The following is a 12,676-nucleotide window of genomic DNA, read 5'->3' on the forward strand; positions in this document are numbered from 1 at the left end:
TGTCCATCTCCTCACAGAGCTGTGTGAACGGATGTGAGTTAAGGGTATGTATTTTAATGTGGTTGATAATTTTATCAACATCCTGCAAAATGTTGTTAAGTTCAGGTGACAGTTTTTGACTAGCCAGCATTTCTGTATGGATGACACAGTGTCTTCTGAATGTGACACACTCACATTCGGAGTGACATCTTTGACCCAAGTAGTGAAATCAGAAAGCTATTCAGTCATGGCAGCCACTCCATCCATACATATGCTGGCACAAAATGACCAATGCAGTTTTCCCGATATGTAATCATTCAAAGACTTTAATAGTTCTGCAGCCATGGTGTTGGTTGGCAACAAAAGTGCATACAACATATCTTCATGCACATCCTCTTGAAAAACATGGCATTGTCCCCTGTTGTCAATATCTCTGGAGTCATCAACCTGGATTGTGTACCACAGTGACTCATTAATCCTCTCTAAAATTGTGACGCAATATCGTCTGCTATTTTATCATTTCGTCTAGTTATGGTGCTAGCCAAAAGAAGAACATGTGCCGCCTTTTGAACTGCAGCCTCTCCTAAAAGTTCACAGCAAATATCCTTAGAGCAGGCAGGGTCAACTCTTCACCAATAGTAAAGGGCTTCTTAGCTTTAGCAATGCAGTTAGCCACTAATGAAGCTCTCAGTGGAGACACATTTGATGACGTGGTGGCCTTCGAAAATTGCTTCTGTTCATGTTCACATTGTTTTCTTTTTTTTTCTTTCTTTTTTTTTTTTTTAGACGGAGTCTTGCTCTGTTGCCCAGGCTGGAGTGCAGTGGCGTCATCTGAGCTCACTGGAACCTCTGCCTCCTGGGTTCAAGAAGTTCTCCTGCCTCAGCCTCCTGAGTAGCTGGGATTACAGGTGCCTGTCACCATGCCCAACTAATTTTTGTATTTTTAGTAGAGACGGGGTTTCTCCATGTTGGCCAGGCTGATCTTGAACTCCTGACCTCAGGTGATCCACCCGCCTCAGCCTTCACATTGCTTTCTTTTTTAAAAAAACTCCAAAGACTTGTCTTTTAATGCTTGGTCTCCATGTCACGAAGCAGTTTTTAAGGTTACCGGTTACGTGGCTTCGTTGGATAGCCAGTCACCACATATTATACAAAGTGGGCTCAGAGAATGTCAATACCCTGTTGCAATGAGCTTGTAATTTAAGTCAGACTCTTGGTATTTTCTTTTAAATGCAGCTTTCTTTCTGTTGGCAGTCTTAGAGCCTTCTGCTGTCACATCACTCGGTCTTTCCCCCTTTTCAAAGAACCTTTCCAGTGACGTTTGTTTTTCACTCATTTTGGCTAGGGTTAGCCTGTGGGTTTACCAAAACTGTGCCTGAGACAAGTATGCAGTGCAGGAAAGAGGCAAGGACCAAAGTGGTAAATAAAATAATGGGAAGGCCATGCATGGACTAAAATAAGTTTCAGAGTCTGACTTAAAGCCTGCCACCAGATGCAGCTTGTCCCTTGCCACTCACTGATAGGGTTTTGGTATGAGTCTGCATGCAATTGATTTATTATGGTCTCTGTGCAGCCAAATCTCTCTGCCAATGTTAATCTGTATTTGCAGCCACTCCCCAGCACCAGTATCTCTGCCTCAGCTCCACTTCAGATAATCAGGCATTAGATTCTCATAGGGAGTGCGTAACCTACATCCCTCACATGTGCAGTTGACAATAAGGTTAATGCTCCTATGAGTATTTTTTTTTTGAGATGGAGTCTTACTCTGTTGCCCAGGCTAGAATGTAGTGGCATGGTCTCGGGCCATTCTACCTCCTGAGTTCAAGAGATTCTCCCATCTTAACTTCCAGAGTAGCTGGATTACAGGAGTGCGCCACCACGCCTGGCTAATTTTTGTATTTTTAGTAGAGACAGGGTTTCACCATGTTGGCCAGGCTGGTCTCGAACTCCTGACCTCAGATGATTCGCCCCGCTTGGCCTTCCAAAGTGCTGAGTTTACAGGTGTGAGCCACTGCGCCCAGCCTCCTGTGAGTATTTAATACCACTGCTGATCTGACAGGAGATGGAATTGCCATTCCAGTGGTAATATGCACAGCAGGAGGCCACTCACCTTCTGAGAACAATAAATAATTGAAGCGTGGTGATCTATTCGAGTGACAATACAATATTTAAAAATAAAATAGCCAAATGCAACAAAAGCCATTGGATATTTCTGGAAGTTTTGTATGTTTGTTATTGTTTATTTGTTTTTAAAAGTCAAGGACACAAGTCACCTAAATAATTTTCTGTGCTAAAGCACAATTAGGTGACATTAGAATCTGTCATCTGAGCACAAAAGTTAGACAGTAATCTTTACTACCTCTTGTGAAGATAAAATAGAGTGGTTCACTCTATTATTTCATACCTGATAGTATGATGATGATCTGGAGAACTAATAAGATTATTTTTGATGTACTAGGTTTTAGAAAACAGTAATTTGTGCATTTTTTGTGAGATTTTCATAAGGAAATGGGTTTAATGTGATTTTCATTATGAAATGGTTAAAAGAAAGACTTCCACAGACATTGACTACACTGATACCTGCCCTTCCATAATGTAGATGATGAACTTAGCTTTCAAAAACAGTTTTCGGTGATGAAAATAATGCATTCCTTCATTTGTCAAAAAAGAAACAAACAAGCAAACCAACTTACTGAGGCCCCACTTAGTGCCATTAGGTCCTTGGGATACAGCAATGTACAGGTCAGAAAGATCTCTGCTCTAAGTTTTCTTGTATTATATTAGGGGAAGGAAACTGATAATAAATACAAAAACAAACAAGATACAATTTTAGATGATAAGTTTATGTGATAGTGAGTAATTAGTTGTTTGCATAAAAAATTCTACCTTCCAAAATATCACTACAAATACTTTAGTGTTTCTCATTCTATTATGTGTATGAAAGCATATTAAATAAATGAGATACTATTATACAGTTTTGTAACCTACTTCTTTCAATTAACAATATACAATATTGCAAGAATTTTTTTCATGTTATTATATATTCTCCCACAAAACTGTTTATTTGGCTACATGGAACGTACTACTTCGAATGAATATAATGTAATTTATTCACATTAATCACCTAGATTATCCCTTATTTTTCCTCATTATGATCAAGGATATAATGAACATCCAGGTTAATAAATCTTGTGTACATCTATAATCGTTTCTTGAGAATAAATTTCTTACATCAAAACTGTTGCCTCAAATGGTTATTTAAATTTCAAAAATTGGGCCAGTCATGGTGACACATGCCTGTAATCCCAGCACTTTGGCATGCTGAGACTGGCAGATCGCATGACCCCAGGAGTTTGAGACCAACCTGGGCAACATGGTGAAACCTGTCTCTATAAAATATACAAAAGATTAGCCAGGCATGGTGGCATGCGCCTGTAGTCCCAGCAAACCTGGGAGGCTGAGGTAGGAGGACCACCTGAGCCCAGGAGGTCGAGGTTACAGTGACCCACGATTCTGCCAATGCACACCAGCTTGGGTTGACAGAGCGAGACCCTGTCTCAAAAAAGAAAAAAAATCAAAAATTAAAACTGTGATGTACCTTTTAAAATAGTTTTCCCAAAATGCTGTATAATTTAGCCTCCCTCTGACTGTCGATAAGGTCTTTGGTTCACCTCATCCTTAATAGCACTGGATGATATCTTTTTCCTCCCGACTTTATGGGAGAAAAAAACTCATTTTCATTTTGACATCTATTATTTTTCTTTCTCTTTTTTTGAAGATACAATTCATGTATCATGAAATTCACCATTTTAAAGTGTTCAATTCAATGGTTTTCAGTATATTCACAAAGTTGTGTAATAACCATCACCACTATCTAATTCCGGAACTCTTTTATAGGTCCCAAAGGAAATCCCATACTCATTAGCAGTCACTGCCCATTTCCCTCTCCTTCAGCCCTGGCAACCACTAAGCTGCTTTCTGTTTCTATGGATTTGCCTACCCTAGGCATCTCATATAAATGGAATCATATAACACCTGGCCTTTTCTGTCTTTTTCCACTGAGCATAATGTTTCCAAGCTTCATCCATGTTGTAGCACGTATCAGTAATTCATTTCTGTTTATTGCCAAATAACATTTCATTGTATGGATATACCACAATTGATTTATCCATTCATCATTTGATGGACATCTGGCTTGTTTCCACATTTTGGTTATTATGAATAAAGCTGCTATGAACATTTATGTACATGTTTTCATGTGAATATATGTTTCCAATTCTCTTGGCTACATACCTAGGAGTGGAATTGCTGGGTTGTCTGGTGACTCTGTTTAATTTTAGAGTTAACTGTCAGACTGTTTTTATATTGACTACATCATTTTACCTTTCCACCAGCAATGTTTGAGGGTTCCACTTTTACCACATCTTCAACACTTATTATTTTTTGTTGTTGTTATTTCTTAATTATAGCTATCCTAGTGGGTGTAAAGTAGTATCTCATTGTTGTTTTGATTTGTATTTCTCTAATGTCTAATGATGTTGAGCCCCTTGTCATGTGTTTATTGGCTATTTGTATATTTTCTTTGGAGAAGTGTCTGTTCAAATCTTTTCCCATTTGAAAATTAGATTATTTGTTTGAATTGTAGGGAATACAAGTTATTTTACTGCGTGTAGCTGCTCCCCAGGTTTCTGGATGCCATTGTTAAAAAATATCATGACTTAGATTTTATCCCCGTGCTCCTGGAATCCTCAGGTTTCTGTGACACAGAGTTCAAGTGAGAGTTCAATCATTCTAGGGACTACTCAGCACCACAGTAGCACCTACAGAGATCATCTGGAGGGAGTGATTTTGTCTCAACAGACGGATCTTCAATGAAGATGAAACAAATCCATTTTGGAGAGAGATGTTAGAGAACTGATGGCGTTCAGGACATGCTACCCAAAAATAATGGTACCTTGGCACTTAAGAAAAGAGCAGAAGCAAGAGGGTTACTTTCACTTTCCCCAGATCTTCTCTTCTGAGGCAGACCATAAGACCTTCATTCCAGAGGTGCCTTCCCTATACCTGGAGGAAACAGACATCCTTATCTCTGAAGACACACGGACAGGGAAAAGAATCTGAGCAAATAGGCCTTGCTAAGTAAGTCCCCCCAGTTTATTACCATTAGATCACAGATTTGTCCAATCATACTTCTCCATGACTTCCACTTCTTTATCAATCCTAGCCTTAAAAATACACAGGCTTCCCTCTTAACTTTGGGTCTTAATTTCTGAAGTCTCCTGTTTTGTGTAAAACTCACATAAATAAGTTAGTATGTTTTTCTCTTGTTAATGTGTCTTTTGTTACAGGGGCTTCAGCCATAAACCTAGTAATGAATGGGGAAATTTTTTTTTTCCTCCTCTATAGAACATATACCAACTGCAAGAAGAAAGAAGAATATGCCTGGTTTTGGGCCTGGCGCGGTGGCTCACGCCTGTAATCCCAGTACTATGGGAGGCTGAGGCGGGCAGATCACCTGAGGTTGGGAGTTCGAGACCAGCCTGACCAACATGGAGAAACCCCGTCTCTACTAAAAATACAAAAAATTAGCCCTGCGTGGTGGTGGCGCATGCCTGTAATCCCAGCTATTCGGTAGGCTGAAGTAGGAGAATCGCTTGAACCCAGGAGGTGGAGGTTGCGGTGAGCCGAGATCGTGCCATTGATCTCCAGCCTGGGCAACAAGAGCAAAACTCTGTCTAAAAAAAATAAATAAATAATAAAAATAAAAACAGTATGCCTGGTTTTAAAGCTTCAAAGAATTTACTCATTCTCCTGTATGTAACATTCTAGAAATGCATCTGGAGTTAAAGCCTTCTTGGAGACTTAAGAACAAATGCACTTATGCATGGCCTTTTGAAACCTAATGTTTCTACAAGGAGGCACGTCCATACTTGCAACTCCTTCTAGAAGCTTCCCCAAATCTCCTGCCTCCCCACGCTGAGTTATCCGATGTCTGAAATGTCACAGCACTTAGTCTTACTCTTCTATGGCCTACTTTCTACTGCTATTTGTGTTACTCATGCTACCCATCTTATCTCCCTCAGTGTGTGAGACGCTGGCATCAGATTTGGCATCTCCCACACACTCAACATTATGTGTTGCACACAGTAGGTACTCAATACATGCAAGTTTTCTGAATAGATATTTTCCTAGTCATCTGTGGCACCTGCTATATCCTACTGAAAATTACCAAAATGCAATTAACTTCAATTTTACATTTGGGATTTACAGAAAATAACTCTCTCTCCAAGAAATGCATAACAATTTAGCTAGGGCAAATGCCAGGTCCGAGTTAAGACATTAATGCGCTTCGATCGCGATAAGGATTTATCCTTATCCCCATCCTCATCTTTCTGCGTCGTCTAATTCAAGATAGGTCAGTAAAGGAAACCTTTTCGTTTTAGCAACCCAATCTGCTCCCCTTCTCTGGCCTCTTTCTCTCCTTTTGTTGGTAGACGACTTCAGCCTCTGTCCTTTAATTTTAAAGTTTATGCCCCACTTGTACCCCTCGTCTTTTGGTGATTTAGAGATTTTCAAAGCCTGCTCTGACACAGACTCTTCCTTGGATTGCAACTTCTCTACTTTGGGGTGGAAACGGCTTCTCCGTTTTGAAACGCTAGCGGGGAAAAAATGGGGGAGAAAGTTGAGTTTAAACTTTTAAAAGTTGAGTCACGGCTGGTTGCGCAGCAAAAGCCCCGCAGTGTGGAGAAAGCCTAAACGTGGTTTGGGTGGTGCGGGGGTTGGGCGGGGGTGACTTTTGGGGGATAAGGGGCGGTGGAGCCCAGGGAATGCCAAAGCCCTGCCGCGGCCTCCGACGCGCGCCCCCCGCCCCTCGCCTCTCCCCCGCCCCCGACTGAGGCCGGGCTCCCCGCCGGACTGATGTCGCGCGCTTGCGTGTTGTGGCCGAACCGCCGAACTCAGAGGCCGGCCCCAGAAAACCCGAGCGAGTAGGGGGCGGCGCGCAGGAGGGAGGAGAACTGGGGGCGCGGGAGGCTGGTGGGTGTGGGGGGTGGAGATGTAGAAGATGTGACGCCGCGGCCCGGCGGGTGCCAGATTAGCGGACGCGGTGCCCGCGGTTGCAACGGGATCCCGGGCGCTGCAGCTTGGGAGGCGGCTCTCCCCAGGCGGCGTCCGCGGAGACACCCATCCGTGAACCCCAGGTCCCGGGCCGCCGGCTCGCCGCGCACCAGGGGCCGGCGGACAGAAGAGCGGCCGAGCGGCTCGAGGCTGGGGGACCGCGGGCGCGGCCGCGCGCTGCCGGGCGGGAGGCTGGGGGGCCGGGGCCGGGGCCGTGCCCCGGAGCGGGTCGGAGGCCGGGGCCGGGGCCGGGGGACGGCGGCTCCCCGCGCGGCTCCAGCGGCTCGGGGATCCCGGCCGGGCCCCGCAGGGACCATGGCAGCCGGGAGCATCACCACGCTGCCCGCCTTGCCCGAGGATGGCGGCAGCGGCGCCTTCCCGCCCGGCCACTTCAAGGACCCCAAGCGGCTGTACTGCAAAAACGGGGGCTTCTTCCTGCGCATCCACCCCGACGGCCGAGTTGACGGGGTCCGGGAGAAGAGCGACCCTCACAGTGAGTGCCGACCCGCTCTCTCCGCCTCATTTCCATTTCGTGGGTTCTCGCCCGCTCTCTCCCCTCCAGCCTGCACCCTCCTCCCGGATCTTCACTGCGACCCTAGCGCTCCGTGTGGTTTCTGGCCGCGCGGCCCTCGGCGGTTTCGGGTTCACCACTCACCCCCTCCTTTCCGGGCTGCGGCGTAGGCCCGGGTGTCCCCTGGGCTTTGGGGTGTGCCAATTTGCCCTGTAAACCAGTACCCCCGGCCCGGAGCCGCGGCGCGCCGGGGCCTCGCGGACTGGCTGTCTTCCCGCGGACAACCTGTCGCGTCGGGGATGCCCGCGGCCCCGCCATGCAGCTCTGGCCGCTTCTATCTGCTGCGTGCTGTCCCGGGGACAAAGACAGGAAGGACCGCAGCAGAACGAAACGGTCTTTACTGGAAAAACACCTTTCTAGAGTCCTGCCCTTAAATTCCGACTCGGGACGACCCGAGGCATATGGCACACTACTCTCACCCACTCTGTTTTATATTTTTCCGAATTGACGAAAGCTGAAAGAGCAAAAACAAAAACCAACCAGCCAACCAGCAAAAAATCCAGATGTTGTTAATAAAGTGCCATAGCTTTGTTTCAGTAGTGAAAAGAAGTGCAAACACTTTAATCTTCCACCTGCAGTGACTAGCTTTGAGACCTTGAGCCGACGCTTAACCCCAGAGCCGGTTTCCTCATCGCTCACGTGGGGCTAATATATTACTACCTTGCAGCAGGCTTGAGGATGAAATGAGAATTGCAGTTTTGCTTTCTGTAAGAAACAATGTTTGTGGTTCTAGAAAGAACACTGGCCTAAATAAGGAGTGCTTGGACTTTAGGGGATTCCCTAAGTCTGGAGTGGGGGCTGAAGATTTGCATTTCTAACATGTTCCCCGGGGATGCTGATCACATCACACTTTGAGAGCCACTGGTCTAGAGGAAAGAGAAAGAAAGGGGCATAAGATGAGCCGATTTACAACACTGATGGAATTTGAAGTGAGAGAAAGAGGACTAGAATATATTGTAACCTGTCCTCCTGTAAGTGTATGTAAACATGTGTTTTAAAAGCTGTGTGTTATGGCGTTCCTTCCTTTATGGGTTCCAGGTGGAGAATCTGATTCTCTCATTGCCTGAGAAAAGACCCACAGGGGTCCCAGCGCCACTCCCCTGTAGTTCTGCCTTTGTCTTGGGATGCTAATGGGATGTCATGAGGGGAGGTGGAGGGGGGCTGGAAGAGAAGAAAATTCTACAACCAAACGTGAATTGGCAGAAGAATGGGCAATACACTTTCATATGAGCTGAGTCTTTATTGCTTCCAAAATAGCAACCTGCAAGAGAGGCAAGTATTTAATTTTTTTCAGGCTTGCCATAATTTAAAAATTTTATCAATCACTTAATCCCGTAAAACTGAAAAGATGCTTGTAACCTATTAGATGGGTTAGTGCTAGTTCTCTATTCTGGTAACTTGAACTCATCTATTTCAAAAAATTATCTTTGTGATTGAAGTTTGTTCTGCAGTTGTCTGCTACGCCATCTCAGCTGACAAGGGCAAGGTGCTGTGTGTCCCAATTGGTTTTGTTCTTTCTAGTATCACAAATTATTTATTAAAAAGCATGTATTATGACCAGAAGACAGAAGAATTTCCCTTTAAATTAAATTAATATTTGGGGCTTCCCCTAATACTCTTTTTTTTTCAGACTCTATTAGTTGCTGAATCATTTTTTCTTTGAAGATTTTGATACCCGATTCGCCTTAGAATAAAACTATGTAGAGGTTAGCCAGTGGACATAATTTTGAATTGCATACCACATTACCACCGTTGTAAAAACAACCGTTAACTTTTTCTTCCTAACTGTGAGTTGGGTTTTCATTTTTGTAATCTTACTTTAACTCTGTGGTTCTCAAATGGGGACGATTTTGCCTCCCAGGGGACATTTGACAATGCCTGGAGACATTTTTGGTTGCTGTAACCTGGAAGGGTGCTACTGGCATCTGGCAGGTAGAGGCCGGGGATGCTGCTGAACATCCTACAATACACATTATAATACCCTCAACAAAAACATTTTTGACCCCAAATGTCACTAGTACTCAGGTTGAGAACTCTGCTAACTTTATAACTAGCTAAGGACAAGACATTAAAAGGGAAATGTAGAATAACTCATCCAGACTTGTGGAGACTACCAATTTTTTTAAAATTTTTTATTTCTATAGGGTTTTAGGGACCAGGTGGTAGTTGGTTACATGAGTAAGTTCTTTAGTGGTGATTTGTGAAATTTTGTTGCACCCATCACCCAAGCAGTATACACTGAATCCAGTTTGTAGTCCTGTCCCTCCCCAACTTCCCACCCTTTCTTCCCAAGTCCCCAAAGAGACTACTCTTTTTTTAAAGGATACCTGTACCAGGCAATAGACTGACAAGAATACAAATCTAAAAATGACAAATTTCATCTATTTCTATGTAGCCCAACCTGGACATAAATTTAAGTACAGTATATTATTTTCTCACATATTGGATGTTTACTGATAGTTGACCAAACCATGAGGAGACCCCCCAAAACAAATAAAACTGACCAGAAAACATGGAGAAGAGTTAATAGTAGCCACAGTTTCCTACTACATTATGGCTCAGATTTCTAGACCTGTTTGAAAAGTTGAAAAATCTATGGTCTCATTCCTCAGACTGTTTTGTCCAACTGACCTGAACATCTGTCACTGGAATTTTTTTTCCTTTGGCATGACACTTTGTGCCTACATGTTTTCTAAACTGCAGGTAACTTTTGAAAGGCCAAGTTCAACCATTATCAGATTTTAACATTTAGTATGGATTAAATTGTGAGTGCAATTTCTTCCCCAAAAGCTGGCCAGAAGGACTGGAGTTTGGGGAGGGATGCTTTGAAGACTGTGATATAAATGATGGGGTCCTGGAGAGGTGCAGGGGAAGAGGAGGCAGAGTGGGAAGCTGTGAGGTAGGAAAGAGAGGAAAATTTTCTAAAAGAAGAGGTAGGAGAAGATGACACAACACAAATGTTTCCAATTTTTCAGTGTTGCTGAAGGTCAACTGTGCTTCACACCTGGGCATTCTCCTGAATTTGCACTCAAAAGGGCCCATTTTCTGGCGTTTTTCTCATAGTCCTGGAATAATCTTCATTTGACATGAGAGTCTTGATAAAAACAAGATGTTAAAAGTGGTTAGAGAGTTTCTCCTTCTCCAGCATGTGCGCTGCACTCCTGCCTTTCTTTTGGCATCCTTAACTTTTGGCAGGCCTCTTTCAATGCGGTGGGAATGGATAATATTAAGTATGTACTCTAAAGTAGCAAGCTGTGTAAAAACATTCAGAAGAGAGAACACTTTATCCCAAGCAGCACGTACAACATGTGGTAGAGTATAGTAAGTGAAATGTATGCTGCTTATGTACACTTAGTATTCAATTTATTCCAGGTGCTCTTATTTACAAAAAAAAAAAAAAAAAAAAAAAATGAGAGTAGTTAGAAGTACTGTATCTACCCTTGGGCTTCTCCCAGGAGGTGACTGCCTGTGTGCCACACTTCTTTGCTTGCAGGCTCCAGAGGACGCTGAGACTTGGAAAGGCAGACCTGCCCACCCCAGTGTGGAGCAGGGGTGGCTTGTAGGTGGGCCTGACCCCTGGGCTCTTTGCTACTGCATGTGTTCCATGCAACCCCAAGCATAAAAACATGGACTTGTGAAATCAAAGGGAGGCTTCAGACCTTCTGGTTTACCCATCTCTTTTTACAGAAGAGGATACTGAAGCTCAGAAAAGTCACCAATTACTCAAGTTCACTTGTGGGTTTCCTCTTTTTTTATCCTGAATGAGCTTCTTACCACCTGGTCCCTTGCCTTCTCTTCCTGCCATCCCTCAGCCTCAGTGCGCTCTTCATTCCACCATAGAGTGTGCCCTGCTGGACCCCACTTTGGTTAGGCTTCCTCCATTTCAGGGTAGTGAGCTGCTAGCCCCTTTGAAGAGTTCTTACTAGTTTACGGGTGCCTCAGGTTGATTTCCTGGGGTTTTGGATAAAGCCACCTTTCCATCTCTTCACTACTGCCTTTGGGGTAAATAGAACCATTGATTTAATAATACACGTACTAGATTCTCTCCCCCCACCTCTCTTTGGTAATATCTGGCAAGTGGATAGCAATAATTTTACTTAATGAACGTGATATTTACTGTAATAAATATTGGGTGCAGTAAACAAATGAAGTCAGAATCTAATAGCTCATTTAATCTTGGAAATCATGTAATCAGTACAGCAATGAAAGGACAATTCATGAGTCATAGATATTACCACACCTTAGGAGCCTTTTAAGATGAGTTTGATGCCAAGTGACTTCAGCCTAGAAAAGGCAATATCCCCTCATGACATGCCCTGAGGGGTTTCATTTGTTTATAAAATGACCGTTATGTAATTAGACTTTGACAATGGTGTAACAATTGGGTTTTAAGTATTCTCATTTTGATTTATGATGCCATTTTATGTGGAAGGACATAATTTTAAAGTTTAATTAGAAAATAAAATGTTACAGATGTAATGAACAAAACAAGAACGGTTCTTTAAATATCATAAGCATAAAATTGACTTTCTTCATCTATACACTGATTCTGAGAACTCATCATCAGTGATGTTGAAAAGACAATTTAAGGTCTCACATTATTGGAACTACTATTTTAAAACCACGAGATGCCTGTACAAGCTGGTAATTACACATGTGCTGTAGTCTTTGCTTGTTTTTCCAATTCTAGTGTTTGTTGATTTTCCAGATACCCTACTTGGGCCCCTATGTCCCGTAGCACACGTCTGTAAGAAGGCTGGCATGGGATAAAAGTCTATGACCATGAAACGGAGCAAGGCAAATCTGTATCTTTGGGGCACATATCTTTTTCTTTTTTTCTTTTTGAGACACAGTCTTACCCTGTCACCTAGGCTGGAGTGCAGTGGCACAATCTCAGCTCACTACAACCTCTCCTTCCTGGGTTCAAGCAATTCTTCTGCTTCAGCTGTGATTACAAGCACCTGCCACCGCACCCAGCTAATTTTTGCATTTTTAGTAGAGACGGGATTT

The 12,676-nt window shown here is 43.5% G+C and overlaps 1 protein-coding gene across 2 annotated transcripts in view, besides 21 other annotated features; it reads left to right on the forward strand.

Annotated features, from left to right (window-relative positions):
- Positions 5,926 to 7,108: a promoter, noted in NCBI's record as "-1001 to +179 promoter; HindIII/BamHI fragment". NCBI's record gives the evidence for it as "EXISTENCE:reporter gene assay evidence [ECO:0000049][PMID:1764264]".
- Positions 5,926 to 7,389: a biological region, named in NCBI's record as "FGF2 promoter region". NCBI's record gives its function as "regulatory_interactions: FGF2 | LOC116158507".
- Positions 6,277 to 7,244: a promoter, noted in NCBI's record as "-650 to +314 promoter; NsiI/XhoI fragment". NCBI's record gives the evidence for it as "EXISTENCE:reporter gene assay evidence [ECO:0000049][PMID:7929563]".
- Positions 6,301 to 6,371: a transcriptional cis regulatory region, noted in NCBI's record as "PKC/cAMP stimulation region; -624 to -556; includes DSE (dyad symmetry element) from PMID:16739027". NCBI's record gives its function as "stimulates expression in response to cyclic AMP" and the evidence as "EXISTENCE:reporter gene assay evidence [ECO:0000049][PMID:9693381]".
- Positions 6,372 to 6,410: a transcriptional cis regulatory region, noted in NCBI's record as "GFRE (growth factor response element); -555 to -512". NCBI's record gives its function as "stimulates expression in response to carbachol, growth factors" and the evidence as "EXISTENCE:reporter gene assay evidence [ECO:0000049][PMID:9582440, PMID:9693381]".
- Positions 6,493 to 6,514: a protein binding site, noted in NCBI's record as "distal Hoxa10 site; -448 to -425". NCBI's record gives the evidence for it as "EXISTENCE:protein binding evidence [ECO:0000024][PMID:22493287]".
- Positions 6,656 to 6,677: a protein binding site, noted in NCBI's record as "proximal Hoxa10 site; -287 to -266". NCBI's record gives the evidence for it as "EXISTENCE:protein binding evidence [ECO:0000024][PMID:22493287]".
- Positions 6,664 to 6,700: a protein binding site, noted in NCBI's record as "TRE (TPA responsive element); AP-1 binding site". NCBI's record gives the evidence for it as "EXISTENCE:protein binding evidence [ECO:0000024][PMID:7499402, PMID:7622586]".
- Positions 6,756 to 6,776: a protein binding site, noted in NCBI's record as "A2; -172 to -151; site C". NCBI's record gives the evidence for it as "EXISTENCE:protein binding evidence [ECO:0000024][PMID:8702507, PMID:9178905]".
- Positions 6,756 to 6,776: a protein binding site, noted in NCBI's record as "A2; -172 to -151; site C". NCBI's record gives the evidence for it as "EXISTENCE:protein binding evidence [ECO:0000024][PMID:8702507, PMID:9178905]".
- Positions 6,853 to 6,876: a protein binding site, noted in NCBI's record as "A1; -74 to -51; site E". NCBI's record gives the evidence for it as "EXISTENCE:protein binding evidence [ECO:0000024][PMID:8702507, PMID:9178905]".
- Positions 6,853 to 6,876: a protein binding site, noted in NCBI's record as "A1; -74 to -51; site E". NCBI's record gives the evidence for it as "EXISTENCE:protein binding evidence [ECO:0000024][PMID:8702507, PMID:9178905]".
- Positions 6,910 to 7,389: a silencer, noted in NCBI's record as "silent region_15666". NCBI's record gives its function as "represses an Ori minimal core promoter by ATAC-STARR-seq in GM12878 lymphoblastoid cells {active_cell/tissue: GM12878}" and the evidence as "EXISTENCE:reporter gene assay evidence [ECO:0000049][PMID:35858748]".
- The window catches only part of FGF2 (fibroblast growth factor 2), a 71,555-nt gene continuing 65,796 nt past the window's right edge, over positions 6,918 to 12,676 (forward strand). Inside the window, exon 1 of one of the 2 annotated variants that reach the window (NM_002006.6) lies at positions 6,918 to 7,588. In NM_002006.6, the coding sequence (NP_001997.5) occupies positions 7,012 to 7,588 (577 nt within the window). In that variant the 5' untranslated portion in view covers positions 6,918 to 7,011. The remainder of the gene's footprint in view (positions 7,589 to 12,676) is intronic. The other variant, NM_001361665.2, reaches the window with a different exon arrangement.
- Positions 7,057 to 7,088: a protein binding site, noted in NCBI's record as "+130 to +159 HoxB7 probe". NCBI's record gives the evidence for it as "EXISTENCE:protein binding evidence [ECO:0000024][PMID:8756643]".
- Positions 7,610 to 7,689: an enhancer, noted in NCBI's record as "active region_21877". NCBI's record gives its function as "activates an Ori minimal core promoter by ATAC-STARR-seq in GM12878 lymphoblastoid cells {active_cell/tissue: GM12878}" and the evidence as "EXISTENCE:reporter gene assay evidence [ECO:0000049][PMID:35858748]".
- Positions 7,730 to 8,024: a silencer, noted in NCBI's record as "tiled region #10032; K562 Repressive non-DNase unmatched - State 1:Tss". NCBI's record gives its function as "represses a minimal TATA promoter and a strong SV40 promoter by Sharpr-MPRA in K562 cells {active_cell/tissue: K562}" and the evidence as "EXISTENCE:reporter gene assay evidence [ECO:0000049][PMID:27701403]".
- Positions 7,730 to 8,509: a biological region, named in NCBI's record as "Sharpr-MPRA regulatory region 10032".
- Positions 7,972 to 8,497: an enhancer, noted in NCBI's record as "OCT4-NANOG-H3K27ac-H3K4me1 hESC enhancer chr4:123748891-123749416 (GRCh37/hg19 assembly coordinates)". NCBI's record gives its function as "activates a minimal SCP1, AML or CMV promoter by ChIP-STARR-seq in naive H9 embryonic stem cells {active_cell/tissue: H9 hESC(naive)}" and the evidence as "EXISTENCE:reporter gene assay evidence [ECO:0000049][PMID:30033119]".
- Positions 8,370 to 8,509: an enhancer, noted in NCBI's record as "active region_21878". NCBI's record gives its function as "activates an Ori minimal core promoter by ATAC-STARR-seq in GM12878 lymphoblastoid cells {active_cell/tissue: GM12878}" and the evidence as "EXISTENCE:reporter gene assay evidence [ECO:0000049][PMID:35858748]".
- Positions 8,498 to 9,023: an enhancer, noted in NCBI's record as "OCT4-NANOG-H3K27ac hESC enhancer chr4:123749417-123749942 (GRCh37/hg19 assembly coordinates)". NCBI's record gives its function as "activates a minimal SCP1, AML or CMV promoter by ChIP-STARR-seq in naive H9 embryonic stem cells {active_cell/tissue: H9 hESC(naive)}" and the evidence as "EXISTENCE:reporter gene assay evidence [ECO:0000049][PMID:30033119]".
- Positions 8,550 to 8,599: an enhancer, noted in NCBI's record as "active region_21879". NCBI's record gives its function as "activates an Ori minimal core promoter by ATAC-STARR-seq in GM12878 lymphoblastoid cells {active_cell/tissue: GM12878}" and the evidence as "EXISTENCE:reporter gene assay evidence [ECO:0000049][PMID:35858748]".

Source organism: Homo sapiens, chromosome 4, assembly GCF_000001405.40.
Source record: "Homo sapiens chromosome 4, GRCh38.p14 Primary Assembly".
NCBI lineage: Eukaryota > Metazoa > Chordata > Mammalia > Primates > Hominidae > Homo > Homo sapiens.